Raw genomic sequence first — 24,165 nt, 5'->3', positions numbered from 1 at the left:
CAGAATACAAAAGGCAAATCAGTGCCTAGGAAGTAACTGTGGCCCTGTCCACCAAATAATGCTTTGCTATGCATTTGCAGCTTCCTTTAAAATTATGTTGTAGCAACAATACTTTGCTTTTGCTGAGAAGTGGAAAGCCACATAGAAATGAGAAGCCAGGCTAGAAACCTGTGCTCAATTTGCCTGACACAGAAATAACCATTAATGGTTCAAATACCCACCAGCATCTGCAATCACCCTCTGAGTGCCCATATGGAACTGAAAAAATGTGAAATTAGCCCAAATGCTCATCAATCAGTAAGTGGATAAAAATGTTTAAGACAGGGGCCGGGCGCGGTGGCTCACACCTGTAATCCCAGCACTTTGGGAGGCTGAGGTAGGCAGATCACCTGAGGTCAGGAGTTGGAGACCAACCTGGCGAACATGGCAAAACCCCGTCTCTACTAAAAATACAAAAATTAGCCAGGCATGGTGGTGGACGCCTGTAAACCCAGCCACTGGGGAGGCTGAGGCAGGAGAATCGCTTGAACCCAGGAGGCGGAGGCTGCAGTGAGCCGAAATCACACCACTGTACTCCAGCCTGGGCAACAAGAGCGAGACCCCATCTCAAAAAAAAAAAAAAAATGTATATGTATATACATACACACACACACACACACACACACACAGAGAGAGAAAATGTTTATGACAGGCCAGGCGCAGTGGCTCACGCCTGTAATCCCAGCACTTTGGGAGGCTGCGGCGGGCAGATCACCTGAGGTGAGGAGTTCGAGACCAACCTGGCCAACGTGGTGAAACCCCATCTCTACTAAAAATAAAAAAAAATTAGCCAGGTGTGGTGGTGGGCACCTGTAATCCCAGCTACTTGGGAGGCTGGGGCAGGAAAATCGCTCGAACCCGGGAAGCAGAGGTTGCAGTGAGCTGAGATTGTGCCATTGCACTCCAGCCTGGGTGAGAAGAGCAAGACTCCATCTCAAAAAAAAAAAAAGTGTTTAAGACAGGACGCTACGTGGAAAGACAGGCACATGCTGGAGAGGCAAGAAGCAGGAATACGGAACCAAAACACCAGCAGACACCAGGTACAGTCAGAGTTCAGAGCAGGAAGAACCTGAGGTTATGATGTATATTAGGGAAAGTAACTTCAGGAGGCTGAAGGAAACCTCCATTCCATCGAATGGCTCACTTCTGCCCCACTGGATCAAGGGCCTCTCCCCTGATCACTTCCCCCTCCATCCCAGACTGCCAATGCCCAATTTCATCCCTTATCAATCCTGGGAAATGAGGCCAGAGACTGGAAGCATCCAAGGCTGGCTGGGTAACTGACAGGCAATATGTGATGCGGAAGGTCAGAGGCCAAACACTCCCCAGACACAGAGCATACTGGTTCCTTGCTGGGAGCTGGGAGTCTAAATCAAAGTTCATACATCTGATTTGTTGATGGGCATCCAAAGAGAAGCTTCGGAATGCTGGCGCCCTGAGTGACAGCACACTATCTTCACAGAATCACGGAGCGTCCTGTTAGGGGCACCCATGCATGCCAGACAGCATGAACTTCCCTAGACTAAAGGAGTTTCATCTAGTTATTCAAAGTCACTTATCAAGTGCTGCTACATCCTGGCCCTGTGCAAAGCACTAGGGTTAAAAAGTGAGATGCAACATGGTTCTTATGCTTACGTCTATCATCAGATAACGATGGCTACCACATGACAGGGATGGGAAAGGAATATTTTAACCAGCGTTGGAAGAGGTAAGGGGAGATGTTCCAGAAGAGGGAATAGTTAAGCTGAGTTTTAGAGGATAAGTCAGTGTTACCACGTTAGGATTTCTCAGATTAGAGTATTTCAATAGTTATGCATTTACATATTAGGAAAAAGATGCCATGAGCACACCAACTCATAACTTCACAGACATTGACTAGTAACACAACGAAATAAAAAATGAAAGCTGAGCCTGGTGGCTCACTCCTGTAATCCCGGCACTTTGGGAGGCCAAGGCAGGAGGATCAGTTGGAGTCAGGAGTTCGAGCCCAGCTGGGCCAATATGGTGAAACCCTGTCTCTACTAAAGATACAAAAAAATTAGCTGGGCGTGGTGGCAAGCGCCTGTAATCACAGCTACTCAGGAGGTTGAGGCAGGAGAATCACTTGAACCTGGGAGGCGGAGGTTGCAATGAGACAAGATCGCACCACTGCACTCCAGCCTGGGTGACAGAGCAAGACTTCGTCTCAAAAGAAAAAAAAAATCATAAAATAAAAATGAAGCCATTTTTAATAAGTAAGTAGATAGAAAGATAGTAAGTAGATAATAACACAAGTAGTGTACAGAGATGGTAAATGTCATGAATGTGGCCCATGAATGATTGACACTGGTGAAACATTGAGCTGAAAAAAGAAGAGGACATGGACCAGAAGAGAGAGAGAATATTCTAGGCAGTAAGAATTGACTCTCCAATGCCTTCTAATAAGGAAGTATATGATTAAGTCATTCATCAAGTATTTATTAAGACCTACATTTTGTTAGGTACTTCTAGGAGCTGCAGAAACAGCAGTGAAAAGACAACATCCTTGCCTTCATAGACAATGCCTTCTAGATAAGGACAAAAGGCCATATTCATTAAATACCAAATAGAGGCAAAGTCACTTAGGGCCATGAGCTGTTTTAGTCTTATAATGCCTGTGTACTGTCTCTTGAAACAGAGCATGGTCTCCATGAGGTCAGGAAACCAAGCCTTCCTGCAGTGCTCACCAGGCAGCTGGTCGGCTGGGCCTCCACTAGGTTGACCCCAGTCCAGTGCTCATCGTCCTCCATCCTTCCTCTCTCCTGCAAGACAAGACCCCCGCCTCCAGGCCAGCCTCCCTCAGCTCTACAGCTCAGGACCACCTTGCCCCATGACGCTCTTCTTCTCCCACAGGACAGTATCTCAGGGATTCACTCAAACACCAAGAATTCAAACTGAAAGGGTATGTGGGGCCTAGAAGATGACCCCATCATCTGCCAGCTTTGAAGAGTGGCAAAATGCCATCCACATGCCAACTTGCAGTGTGCCTCCCCCACTTAATAACTGGTAAAAGAACACCAAAAAGGTAATTTAAAAGCTTTTCTAAAATAACCACAATAATATTATGCACCATTTGTGAGCACTGGTCACAAAGATGGCCCTCTGCTAAGTGGCTCCCATCTCTTCTCTGCCTTAATTCTCTTAATGAGCCTATGCAGCAGGTACTGCTGTTGTCCTTAGCTGGCAATGGAGGAAGCAGGCTTTGAGTGGTGAACTCACCCGGAGGCCACACTGAGCAGTGCCACGGTTCATACATAGGCTCTGTGTGTGCAGAACTCAAACTCCTAACCAGTCTACAGTGACCACAGCTAAACTGTGGGTTATTTCTTATATACTCTAGACATGTCAGGAGGGGAATATGACATGAGGAACCCAGCCATATCATAGGAATTCAGCCCTCACACTCATAAGATCCATTTCACTGGTGAACTCTGAGGAACTTTCCTTCTTTCTTTCTTTTTTTTTCTTTTTCCTAGAAGGAATAGTGCTTTAGTCTTCTGAGCTAAGTCCTCACATTCCATGATGGGCTGTACAAGCAGCAAGATACATTCCTGAACTGCAACCCAGCAAAACTTGGTTACAGGGCGAGGAGGCATATTTGTAGAAGGGATTCAAGCCTCCTAAAAATTCAGCCATTACCTCCACCCATGCTAAGAGGAAATGTCAGCCTGAACCCAAAATATACACAAGGAAATGTGTGGGGGCAGCTCTGCACACGGCTCTCAGCCTCAGCCAGAATTTCTAGATGTGGCCTCGGCATTTTCCCTGAGGGCACACAGAGCCCAGTTCACACAAGCCAGGTCTGCACTGCTCGGACAGACGTGTGTTCCATGAGCCAAAGTGCTGACGGCTGGTCTCACAAGCCAAATGTACCTGGCCAGGCTCTCCCAGGGGCCAGTGTGCTCCTGCACTTGAACTTGGCCTAGTCCCAATTTAAAATAAGCCTTCGACTAAATAGGAAGCAATGCCCTGCCTGCTGTACCTTCTCTGGCAGAAAAACAACTTTCTCTAGGAGACAGTCAGATGTCCAAGTGACATCAGGGCAAAGGTGAAAAATAAACTATTTGATGGATCAGCCGCAGTAGTGTGAGGGTTTGGCAGGGCCAGGAGTGAGGCGCGGTTACGGGGTTCAGTTCAGCCTATGCAGTGGGCTTGATGATGTAGATGTCTTATGCTGCAACAAAGAAGCATCTGAGAGCCGAGTTGGTTTGATCTGCTTCTGCAGGCCTTAGGCCAGCTGTTCCGTGTTGTGTAGAAATACCTGGCGAACTTTGAAAATGTACTACCCCCAGGCTACACCCGCATATCCATTAAACCGGAAGCTCTGGGGGTGGCATCTAGGCATCAATATTTTTTTTAAGCTCTGTGGGAGTTTTCAGTGTGCAGCCAATGTTGAGAAGAGTGCCCCAGACCCCTTGCTACTTAAAGGGTGGCCCATAAACTGCCCAAACCGACGGGTGAAGCGTCACACAGTACCTTGTAGTAGGCAATACCGTCTAGGTCTGCGTAAGCACACTTTATGATGTTTGCACAATGATGAAATCGCCCAACAATGCATTTCACAGAGCAGCTCCCCATCATTAAGCAATGCATGACTGTAAAGATTCCAACTCAGCAGGCCTCGGGTAAGCACCTGAGACTCTGCCTTTTTCTTTTTTCTTTTTTTTAAAAAAAGGATGGGGTTGGCTGGGTGTGGTAGCTCACGCCTGTAATCCCAGCACTTCGGGAGGCCAAGGCAGGCAGATCACAAGGTCAGGAGATCGAGACCATCCTGGCTAACACGGTGAAACTCCATCTCTACTAAAAATACAAAAAAAAAAAAAAAAAAAAAAGCTGGGCATGGTGGCAGGCACCTGTAGTCCCAGCTACTTGGGAGCCTGAGGCAGGAGAATGGCATGAACCCAGGAGGCGGAGCTTGCAGTGAGCCGAGATCACACCACTGCACTCCAGCCTGGGCGACAGAGCAAGATTCTGTCTCAAAAAAAAAAAAAAAAAAAAAAAAAAGATGGGGTTTTGCCATGTTGCCCAGGCTGGTCTCGAACTCCTGAACTCAAGTGATCCTCCAGCCTTGGCCTCCCAAAGTGCTGGATTATAGGTGTGAGCCACCCTGCCCAGCTAAACACAATCATTCTACAAACATTTGTTGAGGGGCTACTATGTGCAGCCCACTGTGCTAAGGACTGGGGACCAGGCACAGTCCCTGCCATTGCAGGGGACTCCTTCCAATAGTGATAGATGTTCCTTGGGTGATACATGTGCCAGCTCTGGTCAAGCATTTCCAGTGCACTATTTCACTGAATCCTCATGAGGTAAGTATTAATTTTATACTCATTTTGCAGGTGAGGAAACTGAGACCTCATGAGACTAATATGACAAATGTCCTACAATGAATAAGCAGCAGATTTGAACCCAGATCTGTCCAGCTCAAAACACCCAATCTCTTCTGCAAATGAGAAAATCTGATTCACCAAACTGTAATACACTTGCCCCTGTCTTAAAATTATTGTCAGGCTACAGAAAGGAACCTCGCTACTCTGGTGGGAGGTAGGGGTACTCCTGGGGAGTGGAAGGGTCGGGAAGGCTTCACAGAACAACGTTTGTCTGAGCCTCTTGAACCAGAATGTGGTCCCATCACAGGCTACAAGTAGAGGGAGGGGCAAGGCAGGCAGAGGGGTCACCCAGAGACATGGGCACATGGGTCTGGCCAACATCTCTCAGCCACACTGGAGTTCCTGCCTCTTATGTCTTTACAGTCTGGGCCTGCTTCTGCACTTACACCTTTCTCCACATTTTTATACCAAAGGAAAAGGGGTTAAGAAGAGAAGACAACAGTCGGGCGCTATAGCTCATGCCTGTAATCCCAGCACTTTGGGAGGCTGAGGCGGGCAGATCACTTGAGGTCAGGAGTTCGAAACCAGCCTGGCCCACATGGTGAAACCCCGTCTGTACTAACAATACAAAACAGTTAGTCAGGTGTGGTGGTGCGTGCCTGTAATCCCAGACACTTGGGAGGATGAGGCAGGAGAGCTGCTTGAACCCAGGAGGTGGAGGTTGCAGTGAGCTAAGATCGGGCCACTGCACTCCAGCCTGGCCAACACAGCAAGACTCCATCTCAAAAAAAAAAAAAAAGGAAGAGAAGACACAAAATGGCCTTTGTTAGACCTTAGAGCCAGTGGCTTTTCAGGACCTTTCCTTCTCAGAAAGGAGCAGGGAAGAGTTACAGCTTTCCTCTTAGACTCAGTCACAGTCCCCAAATGCAGAATGCAAAGAGAGTTTCTTTTTTTTTTTTTTTGAGACAGAGTCTCGCTCTGTTGCCCAGGCTGGAGTGCAATGGCACGATCTCGGCTCACTGCAAGCTCCGCCTCCCAAGTTCAAACGATTCTCCTGTCTCAGCCTCCCGAGCAGCAGGGACTACAGGCGCACGCCACCACGCTTGGCTAATTTTGTATTTTTAGTAGAGACGGAGTTTCGCCTTGTTGGCCAGGCTGGTCTCAAACTCCTGACCTCAGGTGATCCTCCTGCCTTGGCCTCCCAAAGTGCTGGGATTACAGGCGTCAGCCACTGTGCCCAGCCCCAAAGAGTTTCTGAAAGCAAAAGTGTCACCCCAGGAGAGGCAATTTTCTACATTCCATTTTTACAGAATCCTCTCCATTGAAGATAAAATATGAACTAAATGAGAGGTATACACAACACTTCAACAGAAGCCTGGTAGTTCCTAACACATAAGCTTCCCATCTTCTTGAAAAAACAAAACTAAACCCTGCAGTGATCATTAAGTCGTTTTATCTCCCACAAATTTATAGCCCACTTGTAAAGAAACAGAGTTAAGCTGAGTTAAGCTGTAGCCTCTGTGCTTTGTGGCCCTGGCTTTCCTTTGCTTGGCTGACAGCATTTGCAGGAGGGTTGCCGAAAAACCACCAGCAAAAGCCAGTTGGGCCAGTGCTTGCAGCTTCTTTAATTCACCACAATTTGGGAAGTATGTGGATGCTGCTGGGGAGGACAGACTCAGATTAGAGTTCAACAGGAGAACGTTCTGCTGAAACTGGAGTTTTATCTCCTTCCAGCTGAGTGTGTCAGAAGGAGACTATGAATGACTATGAATGCCCAAGCCAGGCATGAGGTGGTACCTCATCTCAAAGGTGAGCTTCGCTGCTACCCAGCCTCAGGTGCCAGAGGAGCATCTGCCCAGCCATCCTTCATAGGTGGCCTGGAAAGGCAGTCTGGTCTGGGGTTGAGACTTAAGCCCAGGCTCGGCACTCACACTCTGCTCCAAATTCTCAGTCTGCCAACTCTGGCCATGTGTATGTTTCAATACCAGCTGCTTCGTCACTTGCCAGGAACAGTCTACTCCTCCAGCTATTATGTTATGGCGTCTGGCAGGCAGGGCCAGATGACTTTTCACCCTGCCCTTTCCTCTAGGGGTTTGGAATGGGCTCACAGCTCAAAATATCATGCCAAAATTGTCGAGGCGGTTTGTCCCATGAGATGTGCTCAGCACAGCCAGGCTCACCACACAGGCGTACTCCCACCCACTAATGTTAGCTTGCAGCCTCTCTGCAGCCGCTCCTGGCAAGAGGTTAACCCCAAAGCCCTAGATTCCACAAGGAAGGGAATGCATTCCCCACGGGTGCCAGATGGCTCCACTTCGCATCCTATACAATATTGCAACACGGAGAGCCACCCCCATTGGGAGGCTGAGGCTACAGGACGAGAAGAAGCATTAGAGGGTAGTGGCACATTCCAACAAATCCAGGCCAGATGTACGTGAACTCTATGAGCCCGTGTGTAAAAACACAGGTACCTACCATTAATCTACCTTAAGAATAGTCTTATCATCATTTAAGTGATGATGGTAATATTAATGATAGTAGCAATAAAAACAGTAACCTCTGGTACCTCAGTGCTTACTGCATGCCAGGTGGGCACTTTGCTAAGCTTTTCACACGTTATTTTTTACATAACTCTCTGTGGTGGACCCTAGCATTATACACATCTTTCAGGCAAGAAACTTAGGGTGGCTAAGGAACTTGCTCGAGGGTAAAGAGTCTAATAGCAGAGCCGTGAGTTAGACGCAGCCACCTGCCTCCAAAGTGCTGTCTGACCTCGTTTTTCAGGACAGGAACCCTCAGACTCACCTGATAGCTAGTTGTGTTGAATTATGTAGCAAACACGTATGCAGCGCCTAAGGTGCCTCATGCAAGGTATCAGGTGCTGGGTAACCAAGAGCCATGCCCTGCAAATCTAACATTCTCCAAGAAACAAGATCATAGCTTATTCTCTTAGCCAGAGGCCAAGACCAGCTCTCTATCAAAATGGCCACAAACATATCCATGCAAACATTTCTAGAAAGACAACCTAGGATCATGATGTCCAACTTCCTGATCCTACAGGGTACATAGCGAGCAGACAGGAGCCCGTGAACAGCTGACTCCTCACGTGTGTGCTGGGCCCTGGGCTGGGAGTCAACAAACCACATCTGTCACTCACCTGCCCCACATCAACCTACCTACCTACCCACCTAACCATTTACCCCAAACCTCTTTCTAGCAGAGGAGCGTGTACCCAGCGTGTCCTGAAAGCCCATCTCAGCTCTTCCCCGGTGAGAGAGCCCTCGGCTTCTCCTTCCAAGTGCCTGGCTTGGGTGCACATTTGCTGGGTGGCTGCTGAGCTGGCTGTGGGGATGGAGTTGCCCAGAAGCCCCCCTGCAGCTCAGGGACCTTGTCCACGAAGTCTCCACTGCAAGCTGACTTTGTGTCGGGTGTGCCGTGTCTCATCTCATCTTCTCCCCACTGTAACCCTCCTTTACCCCCAGGAGACATTGTCAGCCCCATTTACCTGCAAAGAAGCTGAGGCTTGGGGCAGTCCTAATAGCACCCAGCATCACCCCTCCAGTGGGAGCCAGGATTTAAACTCCGGCCGCCTACCAACCCTAGCCTCCAGCTTGATCTCATCCTCAGCCTCATTTCTCCTCCCTCCTACTCCCAGGGCCCTCCCCGTCCCCTGGGGCCACTTCAGAGCCCCGCTCTTCTCCCACCGAGTGTACTCCTGGCCTGAAAACTGAGTGCTGACCCAAATCCACTGTGCATTGGGGTCCTTGCTAGGCGCACCCTGCCCTCTCTCGGGACATAGACTCCCTTCCCCTGAGTTTCTTCTTCTTTCTTCTTTTCTCCTCCTTCTCCTCCTCCAACTCTTCTTCTTTTTCTTCTTCCTCCTTTTCTTTGAGACAGTACCTCACTCTGTCACCCAGGCTGTACCCAGGAGTACAGTGGTATGACCTTGGCTCACTGCAGCCTCGACCTCCTGGGCTCAAGCGATCCTCCCACCTCAGCCTCCTGAATAGCTGGGACCACAGGCATGTACCACCACACCACGCTAATTTTTCTTTTTCTTTTTGTAGAGATGGAGTCTCACTATGTTGCCCAAGCTGGTCTCTAACTCCTGGGCTCAAGCAATCCTCCCACCTCAGCCTCTCAAAGTGCTGAGATTATAGGCATGAGCCACCGTGCCCAGCAACCAGGCAAGTTTTTATTCCTAAACACCCTCGGCCAGGCTTGCAAAAGGAAAGGGCATTAAGAGCATCAGTAACTAGACCTGTTCCAGTGCCTTCCCTGGAAAAAGAAACACTTTCACAGTCTACATCTGAGTCATCAGGCTGCTAAAATATTTAACACTGGACTAACAGGCATTAAGAAAGCAGAGAAGAAAGAAGGGGCTGAGATGCTGTAAGCTGGGGCCTGTTCCTCATCCTGCCAGGTTTTCGGGACAAGAACAGTGCAGAGACATCAGTGGAAAAACCACATGTCTGCCCATTTGGGCTCCCTCCCAGTCTGGTGAGGGGCAGTCTTTTTTTTTTTTTTTTTGAGACGGAGTTTTGCTCTGTCGCCCAGGCTGGAGTGCAATGGCGCGATCTCAGTTCACTGCAACCTCTGCCTCCTGGGTTCAGGTGATTCTCCCACCTCAGCCTCCTGTGTAGCTGGGATTATAGGCATGCACCACCCTGCCCAGCGAATTTTGTATTTTTAGTAGAGACAGGGTTTTACCATGTTGGTCAGGCTGGTCTTGAGCTCCTGACCTCAGATGATCCACCAGCCTCGGCCTCCCAAAGTGCTGGGATTATAGGCGTGAGCCACCGCGCCTGGCCGGTAAGGGGCACTCTTGTAGGTGTGGCCACCGGGGGGTTTGTGGGCAGGGAGGGTTTGCCACAAGCGCTGCTGTCAGGAGCCAGTTCATGGGGCCATCCAGGGCTTCTTACAATGCCAGCTCAGATACGGGTGCGCAGGCCTGGATGTGAGGTCACATAGGTGAAGCCAAGCCCCCAGGTGCAATGGGAGGCCTCCTTGGGTGCAGGAAAGACACCTCCTGCTGATCCGCATTACTGGGCAGATGTGCCACGAACACACCTCAGCCTCCATTCTAGAGACACAACCACTTGGTCTCCCCACTTACAGAGCCAGCCAGCGGGAGGAAGGGGCGCCTAATACTCACCGAGCACCAGCAGGTGCTTGAGAAATGTCCAGGGCCTCACACACAGAGCCTCACCACACCCACTGGCTCTGATGGCAAGGATTAGCCTCTGACGTAATGCAAAGACACAGTGGCTTCCAGTTGGGTTGTCCTGTGTGGAAGCCACAGCCCCATGTGGGTATTTCACTATAAATTTCAATTAGTTGAAATTAAACAAAATTAACAATTTGGTTCCTTAGTGGCACCAGCCTCATTTCAAGTGCTCGCTAGCAGCCTGTGGCCAGCAGCGACTGTATTGGAGAGTGGAGACACAGGACATTCCCACCACTGAAGAACCGTCGGTGGACAGCGTTGCTGTAGGGAACAGGGCGCCTCCCCAGGACTCCACCTGGCTAGTAAGAGAATGATCAGCGTTCTGAACGTAGATCTGATGTCTGAAAAGCCTTGAGGTTCTAGTTCTAGTTCCAACTCTTATTAGCTTTTTGACCTTGACCAAGCCATGTCACCATTGGGAGCCTCCATTTCCTCATCTGGAAAAGGGGTACACAAACAGCACCCACCTACAGGTTGAGGTGAGAAAGAACCACGATGCTGCAGTGTGGAAGTACATTGGCCCAGAGTGGGGAATAAATGAAAGGAACTTATACAGAGCACTTGTGGCAGGTGCTCTCAATAAAGTGGCTCATTTAATTTTAACAGCGCTGTAAGGGAGTACTATTTGCTCCATTTTACGGGTGAGTCAAATGCCCCGCAAGGCGATGGCCCCAGGATCACAGAGCTAGAACCTGAGCCCTGTCAACTCTTGAGGCCTGTGCTTGTCACACCCTAGACCTCAGAATCATATGGTCTTTTCTCAAAAGCCTAGAAGCAGAATTGGGGTGGCTGGCATTGGTGAAAGGAAGATCCCCATCCCCCTCCTAAGGAGGGTCCCCAGTTCAGCACAGGCATCTGGGGGGAAACTTGCCATCAGGGGCCAAAACCCAGGTCTGTCTCTGCAGCTAGTTAGCCCCCTAGTCCTGTCCCCATTCTGAGACTCAGTTTCCTCCTCCATAAAGTGGTGGGGGGGAGCTCAATAAGAATGCCCCCACATTTCCTTGCAGCTCTCACCAGCTAGAGTGTAAAATATTCATCTCTCAAACATTGCTGCTGAAACAAAACCCAAACCCAGGTCAAACACAGTGGCTTCTACCGGTGGCCATAATGAGAAGTTCTCAGAGAGGAGCAAGTCAGCTTGGAGACATTCAATTTGGGAAATCATCACCTTGATCTGAATGAAACTGGCCCTTGACTTTGAAGTGGCAGTGAGCGGCTCTTCCATGCTGTGGGTTCAAGTGCAGCATGAACAGGGGACAAGCGGCAGAGAGGCTCCCAAGCTCTGGAGAGCCAGAAGCCAAGGTGGTGGCATGCCTGTCCCAGCCACCTGAAGACAGTGAATCCAGCCCCTGCCACCAAGGAGGCAGCCGCCCTTTGTGCAGATGCTTCATGAACCCACTTTCAAAGGGATTTAGAGGGTCGGGCATGGTGGCTCATGCCTATAATAATCCCAGTGCTTTAGGAGGCCAAGGTGGGAGGATTGTTTGAGGCTGGGAGTTCGAGACCAGCCTGGACAACATAGTGAGACGCCATCTCTACAAAAAAGTTGAAAATTAGCTAGGTGTAGTGGCGCGCACCTGCAGTCTCAGCTACTTGGGAGGCACGGAGGCTGGAGAGTTGCTTGACCCCAGGAATTGGAGGTTAGAGTGAGCTATAATCTCACCAAGTCACTCCATCCTAAGAGACAAAACAAGACCTTATCTCTAAAATAAATAAATAAAGATACTTGAAGCTTTTCCAAATGACAGATTCACCTCTCAGGAAATTCATTTTACTTATGAAACACAGATGCTTCATTTTACTTATGAAACACATAAAGGCTGCATTTCCAAAGGCTCCTTGACTTTGGTATATGATTGTTTATAGTGACTGAAGCTATTGATAAGAACACAATTTGTAAAGGCTTTAGTTTCCTAAGTACTTTTGATTCTGTGATCTCATTTCACATAAGGAGCTCCTTGTGGGCCAAGCAGGGTTCGTGGAGCCCCCAGCTTGACAGACAGAAACAGGCTCAGAGACGTGGAAGGGCTGGAGACAGACGCTCATCCAGTTTCTGCGTCTACAGATTCCTGCAGGGTCTGTTACCATTTCATTTGGAGATCTTGGGCATTGCCTCCTTTTGCTTAATTTCCAGGATGGTTTCGAAGAAATACATTTCAAATTACAAGAGTAGTTACCATTGTAATCATACATTTACCATATACCAGGCATTATCCCAGGAGCTTTGGAAACATTCCAATTTTATCCTAACCCCAATCCTAAAAGAGAGATGTTATCTTCCCATTTTATAGAGAGAGAAACTGAGGATGGAAAAGTTAAGCAGCTTATCCAAGGTAACGAAGCCAATAAGAGGCCAATGAGATGTGAATGCATCTGTCTAACTTAACTGCCTCCCATCTGAGAAGAGTATTGCTGTAAGTGACATTACCAAGTGTCGATTTCCTATGTCATATAAAATCGGGGGTGAGGTCTGTTGTCCTGGCTTTATCTGCTAAGAGAACCATGCTTCAATGTTGTTTTCTCTTTTCCTTAATTTATACAGTTGTAGCCATCCTCTAAAAGCTTATTCTTAAACTTGAAAACATGGTGTCACAGCTGGTAATTTTAGAACGGAGTGGAGGGAAAAGGAAGAAACAGAGACCAAATGGGAAGGAGGCATGGGAGGACAAGAGAGAAGCGGCTCCAGTGAGGCTTTCAGGTCCAGCCAGGGCTTCCTTAATGGGAGGCCAGCTGTCCTCTCTGTCCTCCCTCCCTCCACTTTTCAATCCAATTGCCCTTCCCCATTCAGCCTAGGTTTACACAAAGACCCTAAGCATCTGGGAACAATTTGATCCTCTTAAAATCCACTAATACTTGAAAATACCTTTCCAACCATTTCCCTAAATGGAAAAAAAAAAAAAAGAGAGAGACAAAGAGAGAACGACTCCTTTTAAACACATATTCAGCAACGACAAGCTTGGTGATATCCAAGATTAATCCAGAACGACACATCTGAACATTAGTGCTATGTAACCAAAATGCCAAATTCTAGACCTTCCACTAACAGGGAAGATAGTTGTATATGTACGTAGGTGAAATTGATTCAAGCACCTTCTGCAGAACAACCTGAAACTAACATGAGGCTGTCTCTGAGTCCCAGGCTCTTCCACAGGGAGGATCATACAATGTACAGAAATGCACAGCCACTCTCTGTACATTTCATTCTATACATTTCTATGCATTGTGAGTTCCTGCTTCTCAGAGTGAGAAGAGTGCCTGTTTCTCAGAGTGGGGGACACACAGACCCCCATGGGTGTGAGGTGTGGCTGGAGGTAGGCAAAGCCACAGGATATCCATGCCACATCCATTAGCAATGCCAATTTGACTTCATAAGATGGACAATAAAGCAGTAAACAAATTTATGCTACCTTCATGTACATGTGTATGAGATGGGTTATCAAACTATCCTGTCATCAAAATAGAAAAAGACACATTTCTTAGATATTGAATCTTATATGTGATATCAGCCCTATTCAAATTGGCAGAATCTTCAAAATTCAATCCACAGAAGCATGTCACCTGATAACTAGCAAGATAATAGAAAACTTGGTTTTGCTTTGCTTTGCTCTTCTGGAGGTAACTTGAAACAGTGTTTTGATGGTGAAATACAATATAATATGGTACACAAAGATACTCAAAGTGTTACAGTGAAACACAATCTCAAAATTTTTAACTTGTAGCAGATCACTCTGGGCTGTGCAGTAGGGGGTAAAAAAGAATTCACTCTCCTCAGCCATTGAAATATTTTAGCAGAGAAAGAATTCAACGCTGGAAAAGAAAGACAGCCAGGTTGAAGTTTCAACCTCAGGAGAACAGACTGAGATCCCAAAACCATCTCCACCCTGAAGAGAGATATAATCGTGCAGGTCACTGCACCAGAAATGCCCATCACAAAACAACAGGGAATCTAACACCCACTGGGCACCAGAATGGGCACGCTCCAGCGCTTGAATCAAGGATCTCATTTAACCCTCATGGCAATTCTTTGAGGCAGGTACAATTGGTGTCATCCCCATTCTACAGATGAACAAACTGAGGTTAGGTATGTAATTAGTAAGGAGCAGAGCTGGGGTGTGAATTCAGAGACCTGTCCCTGAAATTCATCGCCACCACAGCTCCTGGCAGTGTTCACCGAAGTCTGGTCACCCAGCCTCCCCAAGACCGCTGCTGATTTTCACCTTCAAAGGCAACACCTGCCCCTCCTAGGAAGTACAGCCCCTGGCCTGGCAGGACTTCCTCCGAGACCAGCCCAGGTCCACGTGCACGGCTTCCTCATGGTGGATGGGTTCACAAGCAAGAAGTTCAGAGCCTCTGCCTCAAGAGAAAGAAGCATTCCCAACCTGCCAGGCTGGATGAGAGAGTCCAATCCGAATTTTTTCCAGAAACCCTCAACCAATGTTAGGAAGCCTTTTCCCCAAGAGCCTAAAGCACAGGGAAGGCCAACTCTTTATGACCCCATTTCCTTCAAAGACCAGGGAAAAGCAGCTTCTAGGGGCAAGTGATCCAAATAGAATGTGACCCAGGTATTCAAAAGCCACATATGTCATTTTTTAAATTTAGGGAGCCACATTGAAAAAACAGAAAAAAGAAATAAGTGAAGTTGATTTTAGTAATACATTTTAACCCAATAGATCCAAAATATTATTATTTTGCATATAATTAACATTATATTCAAAATGACTAGTGATGTATTTTCTTTTTTTTTCATACTAAATTTTCAACATTGGGTGTGTATTTTACACTTACAGCACATCTCCATCCACACGTAGCCAGGGGCTGCTATGCTAGACCGAGCAGCTCTAGAGAGTACAAAAGTCTCAGCAGGAGCAAAGTGAATAGGAACACCATCAGAACCTAAATTTCCATTGCTGTTAAAACCATAATCAGTCATGCAATTTCAGCCATGAAGATCTGTTTGTAGGCTGAGTATGGTGGCTCATGCCTGTAATCACAGCACTTTGGGAGGCAGAAGCAGGAAGATTGCTTGAGCCCAGAGTTCAAGACTAGGCTGAGCACCATGGTGAAACCCCATCTCTACAAAAAATTAAAAATAAGCTGAGCATGGTGGTGCACACCTGTAGTCCCAGCTACTAGGGAGGCTGAAGTGGGAGGATCCTGGGGTGGTCGAGGCTGCATTGAGCAGAGATTGTGCCACTGCAGTCCAGCCTGGGTGACAGAGTGAGACCCTGTCTAAAAATAAATAAATACATGAATAAATAAATAATTTTTTAAGGATTTGTTTTTAAAGAGTTTTGACAGCACTAAAAACACTAAAGAGTGCTTTGATGGCACTAAAAATCTGCTAAAATGAAAATATACTAAAATACGCAATAATAATTGGTAGGTATTGTGGTTGTGAATTTTTCTCTGTCTACTTTTCTTTCTTTTTTTTTTTTCTTTTTTTTTTTTTTTTGAGATAGAGTCTCACTCTGTCACCCAGGCTGGAGTGCAGTGGCGCAATCTCGGCTCACTGCAAGCTCCACCTCCCGGGTTCACGCCATTCTCCTGCCTCAGCCTCCCGAGTAGCTGGGACTACAGGCGCCCGCCACCACACCCAGCTAATTTTTTGTATTTTTTAGTACAGACGGGGTTTCACCGTGTTAGCCAGGATGGTCTCGATCTCCTGACCTTGTGATCTGCCTGCCTCGGTCTCCCAAAGTGCTGGGATTACAGGTGTGAGCCACCACACCTGCCCCTTCTGTATCTACTTTTCCATACCTCACAAGTATTCTGGAAAAAACTATAATTTATAATACTAATTTATAAATTTTAATTTTACAATTTAAAGTGATTAAAACAACAAGTCATGAAATATTTATTGTACTACTATACATCTGGCCCTGCCTTCTCCAAGAAGGTGCTAACATGTTTAAGGACTCTGAAAAAGAAGGCACTGATATGGTCATTTTTGGGGTGGGGAAGACTTTTCCAAGCTAGACAGATATTTCTCCTGCCCCTTAACTGGGAATATAAAAAATACATAACAGCAAAGGCTGCAGGAAATTGTATCCTAAGTCAGTAGCAAAAAAGGGTGTCCAATGCAGATTAAACTTGCATCTGTTTGGCCAGCACATGCCCACATCCACATTGGCTCAGAGCTATGGGAGTCACTACTGCCAGGCGGCAGAGGCAGCTGGGTGTCAGTGGAAGTGTTCAGACTCGAAAAACAGGTGATCGTGCATTCTTTCTGAATGTGCAAAATATGAATCAGATCATTTATAAAATGCCTGCAGCTGTTTGGTAGGGTACACAGGTACTAATTTAAAGTCTGATTCCACCCTACTCATACACACAAGTGTTGTATGCATGTATATGTGTGCACACACAGCACCAGAACAGCCAAAGGCCTAGGGAGGCGGAAAGCTTGTTCACTGTGTGTCTGTGTACGTGCACAATATCACCATTTCCCCAAAAGGATGAAACCTTGAGCAGCAGCTTCTGCATAACACTAGGTGGCATTTCATGTAGAAAAGAACAGGCAGGCACACTGCAAGTGTGAAGGTCACTGTTCGTGGTTACATTTACCCTCCTTGAATCTCGAGATCTCCTGGAGTGTGACCGCTGTTGGTGAGCCATTCCTGCTTCGGAGACTAAATCAGCATTGAACCCATTTGCATCAAGATGTAATGAACTAGATGAATGGGTGCCTAGAGATGATGCGGCGGGTGTGGGGGCTGGGGTATGATATCTAGGGGCTGTAGGGTTTCTTTCTGTGGGGATGAAAATAACCTGAAATTGATTGTAGCCATGGTTACACACTGTGAATATACTACAAGCCACTGAATTGTATGAGTGAATTATGTGGTATATGAATTGCATCTCAATAAAGATTCTTTTCTTTTTTTGAGACAGGGTCTCTGTCACCCAGGGTGGAGTGCAGTGGCACAAACACGGCTCACTGCAACCTTCACCTCCTGGGCTCAAACGATCGATCCTCCCAACTCAGACTTCCAAGTAACTGGGACTACAGACACGTGCCACTGTGCCCGGCTAATCTTTGTATTTTTTCTAAAGATGGGGTTTCACCATGTGGCTGGTCTCAAACTCCTGGGCTCAAGTGATCTTCCTGCCTCGACCTCCCAAAGTGTTGGGATTACAGGCATGAGCCACCGCACCCAGACTGACTTTTTAAATTTAAGGTAATAAACTCAAGTATGAAAGCAACTCATTCAATCCCTTTTCCAACAATGGAGCTTTTAGTCATCCCAGGTACTGCTGTACCTGTACATAAAACGGGAATGGCCATTTGCTTCTTTCTTATGTAGGAACTCATGCTGTATAAGGACTACTCTCCTTTCCAAAACATCCAGTGTGTCTGTATCTAAGGAAGGCATCATGGCCTTCCAAAGACCAATATCTTTCGCTGACCTTTCTGTTCCTTCCGCACCTCTGGTCTCATCTGAAGTGACTTTATCCATGACTCTTGGAGCATCCTTCTTAGGAACCGAAGGTAACATGGATGGGCCAGGCCTGGGGCTCTCTCTGGGATAATAAAAGAAAGCAATTAATAGGATAATGTAGATAGTAAGGCATTTCTCCTCATGTCCTATTGAAAAAGCAGATTTCTCAATTAAAGTTTTAAGTGGCTACTACAAAAAAAAAAATCCCTAGGAAAAAGGGCCCCCTGACTAAATAAATCCAGATTCAAAAGCAGATGTATCTGGACTCCAGAAAAATATATGACTGACTATAACCTATCACTTAATAGTACACAGCCAGCCAGTAAACAGTTGATACTTTTCCAGTGGTTTAAGTTAGATGAATTAAGGAACACAAGAAAAAGAACATAGTCAACAGCTCCCAGCCTCCAACCATGGTTCTCACATTTTTCAGAGCCTCAGGACATCCAGAGGGGGTAAGCAGGTTCATTTAGCAATTAGATATGGAAAACTCAGCTTTTAGAAAACCACTCACCTATGCGACTGACTTCTAAAAATCAGGCTGGGAATCACCTTTGAAACTGACCACACATTCCCGTGGGAATTTTTTCATTTAAGTACCTGTCAGTGTGGAGCTCTTCTGGAGCCAAATGTTGCAGCTTCGGGTCGTGAGTTTCGTCAGGCTCTGGAGGTGAGGAGACGCACACCTTCCCATCCCCAGCTGGAATGGGGCGCTCAGGCCCTGGCTGCTCCTTAGCCTGCTGGGGCCTGGCTGGGCTGTCCCCATGAAGGGCAGCTGTACCCTCCATCCCCGGAGCCTTGTCAGAGCAGGCTGGGTCCTGACAGCTTCCTGGCAGCACCAAGTCACCTGCCACAACGGAGAATGTCCTCGTAGTACCTGCTTCAGGCAGATCACCGGACGCACATGCCTGTGTCTCAGCTGTGCTCAGGGTGATGTCACCCTCTGCTTCCCCAGCAGCGCCTGCCACCTTGCCAGGCTCCAGGGGAGTGTCTGCCACTTCTCCAGTTGGTGGTGCAGGGGTGCTCTGGTTGCCCAGGGCATTTCGCATTTCCAAGATGCCAGCAGTGACTCCGGGTCTCCTTTCACCCCCAAGCGTGTCAAGGGTCCAGGGCTCACTGTTGGCCTCAGGCACAGTCAAAACCTCCCTCTGAGGAGAAGGGGCACACGTGGACCTTGGCACATGTCCTGGAACCCCTGTGTGAGCAAAGTCCCCGGGACCATCTTCTCCATGTGGACTGTCGCAGGCAGATGTTTCCTGGTGCTGCTTTCCAGAAGGAATTCTGTCTTGGGCCACGGCCTCTTCTCCATGGCTATGGGGAGCCACCTGGAAGGCAGCAGCTCTCTCCACAGGGAGCTCCTGAGTAGCTGCTGGTGAAGGAAGACCTGAAGCTAATTCCTGCCTGCTCCTCTCCAGCTGTGAGTAAGCCTGGCCTTCCAGGCCTGGCCAGGCTGCCCCAGGCCCCTCTGGCCTCTCGTCTTCCCTCAGTGTGGGTGGGACACCTGCCATCTCCTTCCCCACACCGGCACCTGGCAAGTTCCGCTCCCAGGTCAGCCCTGCTGGACCCAGAAGCTTGTCTGAAGCTGGATCTTGCAGAGCCAGATGGGAAATCTCAGCCTCTCCAGCCAACTGTTGCTTCTTCTCCACCTGGAGTCGAGCAGGAGGTGCAGGGAGAAGGGTGACATCCACTCCTGGAGGCCCATCTAGAAGCTTCTCTGGGCCCAATGGCCTGGTGAGGTCTTTACCCACTGCACTCCTCCCAGCTCCTGCCTTTTCTCCAGGTGTGGCCAGGGCTCCGAGCACAGGCTTCTCGAAGATCTTGGCGATGTGCTCCCTGAAGTCTGGGAAGCCAGTGAGGGTGGCGATTTGCTCAGAGCTTGTGTCCACACCACCTGATGTGCCCTGCTTTGGGTCCTGGGAAGGCTCTCCCATCCTCTCCATGCTGCCCTCTGTCTCTCCTGCTGCATCACCTGCCATGCCCTCCCCACTGGCCTTGGCACCTGCACCTGGAGCTGTTGCTGCTTTCTCTTCCCCTGTTGCCTGCTTGCCCTTGGCCAGAAGTGGCATCCGGTCCAGGCATGGCATGGAGTCCACTGGTCCCTCAGTGGTTCTGGCTTTGGGACTACCACTGCTGGCTTGCACTGCAGGGATTTCCCCACCTGCAGCTCCTGGTTGCAACAGGGGGGCGAGGGAGCCAGCAAACAGCTTCAAGGAGGCAGCATTTTCCAAGGCAAGTGGGGGCTCCCCTACAGGACAGGGGCTTTCGCCAGGAGCTCTGGGGTCTGCAGAGGAAACAGCTTTCACTCCACTGTCTTCTGCTCCTCTCTGGGCAGCACTGTCGACATGCAGGTAAGGGGTGTCAGGAGCAGCCACTTCTGGTGGCCCAGACAGCAGGAGCTCCTTTGGGTCTGGGACAGCCTGGTGTGTAGAAAAATCCATGGTGCTCCTGGGAATCCCACCCAGCTCTCTGGCTGGCAGCAAGGCATCCTGGCAGCTGGCCATGGGGTGCTCAGCTTGGCAGGACTCACGTAGGGCAGAGGTAGAAGCTTCCTCCCCGGAGGTAAGGCAGTGCTCAGTCTGAAGGAGGCCACAACTCAAAGTAGCTTCTCCAGGTTTCTCCGGAGCCTGCTGCTTTCCTGGGTCTCCTGCACCAGCGCTGCCACCAGTCTCAGCAGCCCCGGCTTCACCACCTTGCTCCCCAGCTGATGGGAAACTTGCAAGAAGCTTTGGGGACTCTGCATCCGAAGTGGCCCAGCACTCCATTTTCTGCTGCGGGGCCGGCACTGGTTGCTGCCTGCCTTCCTGGGTTTCATCACATGCCTCTGTCTCTGGGGCATCCTGGGTGGGTGTGACTCCGGGGCTGGCGGGCGCCAGGGCTGGCAGGCAGGGAACTGCATCCAGGAGAGCTACTGAGTCAGGCTGACAAGGTGGGGCCTCCCCTGTGTTTCCACTTGCCATCTCCCTCTTACTCAAGCCCCAGAGTGGGGAACAACCATCAGCTGCTTCAGAAGCTCCTGGATGCCTTTGACATGCTTCTTCATGCTGGCTGCCTTCTTCCAAGGCATCAGCCAATGCCTGTTGAGACTTGTTTGGCCCCTGCCCAGTGCAGCAAGTTTCCTTTCTGCTGAAGTTCCCTGCAAGAGAAAAGTCTTTTAAGACATCTGCTGCTGGAGGCGAGACCCTCGAGGACTGACCATCACCGCATGCTCCCTCTGGCCGCTTCTCCCCTAGTGCAGGCAACTTCTGTCTCGTTGGTGCTGACAATTCTGACTCTTCTGTCAGAGAACTCTCCCAAACCATGTCAGTGGGAGATGAAGTTGGAGTATCAGACAGGGTGCCTTTGGGGAGCTGACTTTGAAGTTCTGATCCCAAAGCCTGCTCCTGTCCTCCATGAGTGGGCAAGTTGTTATCTTCCTGAGGTTCCACAGGTACATGGATTTGGGAAGAATCTGCTCCCTGGTCCTTAAAACCTGGATGGCTTGGAGAAGTCTCTTTCCCATTTTCAGGTGGCTGGGCCTGCTCCTTGAGCACGTCAAAGATGGATGTCTCTGGTTGTGCCTGGGATGGCTGGAGATGCTTCTCAGAAGATAGTAGGGGCCACTCGGATGCAGCTCCTCTTATCCAGCCTTCCCCTGGGCAGGATGGGATTCCCTGCTGATCTTGGTCCAGGATGAGTGCCGTGAGCCCCAGGTCTGCTGCCAAGTTCTCCCCCTGGGGGGGATGTGGCACCCCAGCATGAAATTCCTGTCTCGACGCATCACACGCCGGCCCGCGGGGTTGATCTGGGGACGTCAGCAAGCCCTCCCCATCACAGCTGCCCATCTTCCTTATTTCCAATGTGCTCTCACCTTCCTGGGCTTTGGGTGCAACCTCTGCAACAGGAGTTGGTGGAAAATCTGATTTCTCTGATTCTAAAGTCAGGAAAGACTCCATTCTTCCCAATCCTTCCCTGCTCTGAAGGGTGTCAGGACATTTGGGCTGCAATCCTGACCCCTCCCAGATGGCTCCTTCGGGAACAGTGGGCTCACCAGCTCCATCTGGCACAGGGGGCAGGACGGGGTCCTCCTCACCCAGCTTGTGTGGTAGGCCAGATGCATCAGCCTCTGCTGTCTGAGAGTGGGGCCCGTCCGTGTGCCCAGCACCCCCCTTTCTGGGTGGCTGTGCTGAGTGTGAGCTGGGATGGTCTCTGCTCTCTGCATCACTGCTTGGCTTTGAAAGCTCATCTTTGCCTACTTCTGGATCACGCTTGCTGCTGAAAGCCTGAGAGTCCTCTCCTTGCAGGTTCCCTGGGTCTCCACCATCAGGTGGCTCTGGGGCTTCCTCCTTTCCTCCAGGGCTGTCACCAGGTGATCTGCTTCCTTCTTTAGCCACGGCTGGGCTTGTGGAATCTTCATGGACCTTGGCTCCATCCGTTGGCCCCGGTGGCCCTCTGGCACTTTCACTTGGTGCCTTGGGAAGAGGAGGGGGTGGTGCTCCTGGTTGGACCTCATGGCTTTGCTCCTTGGGAAGAGGAGGGGGTGGTACTCCTGGTTGGACCTCATGGCTTTGCTCCGTGTTCAAGTGCTCTCCCCTCTCCTGGGGTGATGGGGCAGGAACCTCTCCAGGGTCCCCTTCTGGATGCTCTCCCTTGCTTCCAAGATCTGACACCTGCCTCTCCAGTCCCACCAACCCTGCATCCACCACCTCTTTGGCTGCATCTGCAGAAACTGGCATCCCAGCCTTGGAAACTGATTCCCTGGATGATGATCCAGGTTCTTCTACAGCAATAGGAATCTGAGCAGCTGGGAATGAAGCGAGGCTTGAAGCTGGATGTGCTTCCTCAGTCGGAGTGAGCAGGGAAGGTTCAGGGCTCACAGGCAAACCCCCTTCGGGCTGGCCGCCTGCTGCCACACAGACAACTTGATTGGGCTTGGTTCCTCGCATCCCTGTCTGTGGGTGACCCTGAACATCAATGGTGTCCAGAGCCTCCTTCCCAGAGCCCCCAGCCTCTGGCACCAGGGCAGGACTTGGCAAGCCCCAGGGCAGCTCTGCGTGCGGCAGATATGCTCCCACTGGCTGCTGGCAGCTCTCCTGGGAAGCGGCATTCACTTCTGCTTCTGGGGCAGCCCCTGAATTGCTCCTAGGGAGATGGCAGGCCCTGAGGAATTCCAAGTCATCTGTTAAATACTGAGGCGGCGCCTCCCCTTGGCCTCTTTCTCTGTCTGAGGCTCTTGGGGCTGGATCTTGTGGGATCGGGGCCATGGGTTTTAGGGGGGACTTCTCCAAGACCGCTGAGCTTTCTGTGCCCTGCTGGGCTGCAGCAGGGGCCTCAGGGGTCACTTGCACAGAAGCCACCCCCTGCCTGGACTCTGCAGGGGGAAAGCCACCTGCAGCCTCTTTCTCTTGGGACTCAAAACCACCAGGCTGGTCCCCCTCTCCACACAGCGGTGCCTTCATTGGCTCTCTGAGGGGTACTGGCGACATTCCAGGTGACTGGTCGATGCCACTGGAGAAGGAGAAGGAGGACTTCTGTCCTTCTTCCTTCGGCTGTCTCTCTCTTCCAGCACTGGGGACGGCAGCAATCTCTTGGTATGGAGTAGAGCTGTCCCTCTCAGCGGGAAATGCCGCCGCGATGTCTCCTGGGGCATTTGGGGCAGGTTCCCTCCTGGGAGACTGAGTCTGAGGACCATCTTCAGGTGCCGCTGCTGGACTTGCCAAGCAACCTTCCGGGGGACACTCGGCAAAGGGCATGGAGGACGAGGGGTGCTCTCGCTCCTGGGACGGTGGTGGGCTGGGCAGCAAAGAACCTTCTGGCCCCCTGGCTCCCTGTGGGTCCTTCCTTGGCTCAGTCACCTCTGGGGACACAAGGCATGGATCCAGGCTGGCAGAACTCTCAGAAGCGGTGCAGAAGCCTCCAAGCCCAACGCTGCCAATGCTGAAAATATTTAATGTTTCATTGGTTATCATGGATGCCAAGGACAGAGCCACACTGCAGGCAGGTCACCCCCCAACCCACCCCCACAAAAGGGCATCAAGTGCCCTAACCACAGACACAGCATCCTCATGCAGCTCATTCCTCTCTGTGAGAGCCCCCTGCACCCCTCCCATAACCATTATGCATGCCCTCGTTTCCC

The 24,165-nt window shown here is 49.7% G+C and overlaps 1 protein-coding gene across 48 annotated transcripts in view, besides 1 other annotated feature; it reads right to left on the bottom strand.

Annotated features, from left to right (window-relative positions):
- TACC2 (transforming acidic coiled-coil containing protein 2) overlaps window positions 1-24,165 on the bottom strand; it is a 265,380-nt gene that overhangs the window by 147,930 nt on the left and 93,285 nt on the right. For 43 of the 48 annotated variants that reach the window (NM_206862.4, NM_001438366.1, NM_001291876.2 and 40 more), the window contains 2 exons: window positions 18,654-23,966; window positions 18,022-18,135 (listed from right to left, as the gene is read on the bottom strand). The exons of 4 other annotated variants lie outside the window; for them this stretch is intronic. In NM_206862.4, coding sequence (NP_996744.4) covers window positions 18,022-18,135; window positions 18,654-23,966 — 5,427 coding nt within the window. Of the gene's footprint in view, window positions 1-17,874; window positions 18,136-18,653; window positions 23,967-24,165 lie in introns of all 48 variants that reach the window. One more of the 48 variants, NM_001291877.2, reaches the window with a different exon arrangement.
- Window positions 20,646-21,147: an enhancer, noted in NCBI's record as "H3K4me1 hESC enhancer chr10:123844981-123845482 (GRCh37/hg19 assembly coordinates)". NCBI's record gives its function as "activates a minimal SCP1, AML or CMV promoter by ChIP-STARR-seq in primed H9 embryonic stem cells {active_cell/tissue: H9 hESC(primed)}" and the evidence as "EXISTENCE:reporter gene assay evidence [ECO:0000049][PMID:30033119]".

This window comes from Homo sapiens, chromosome 10 (assembly GCF_000001405.40).
Source record: "Homo sapiens chromosome 10, GRCh38.p14 Primary Assembly".
Lineage (NCBI taxonomy): Eukaryota > Metazoa > Chordata > Mammalia > Primates > Hominidae > Homo > Homo sapiens.
The sequence above is the reverse complement of the archived record's forward strand: the minus strand, read 5'-3'. Positions and strand labels throughout refer to the sequence as shown.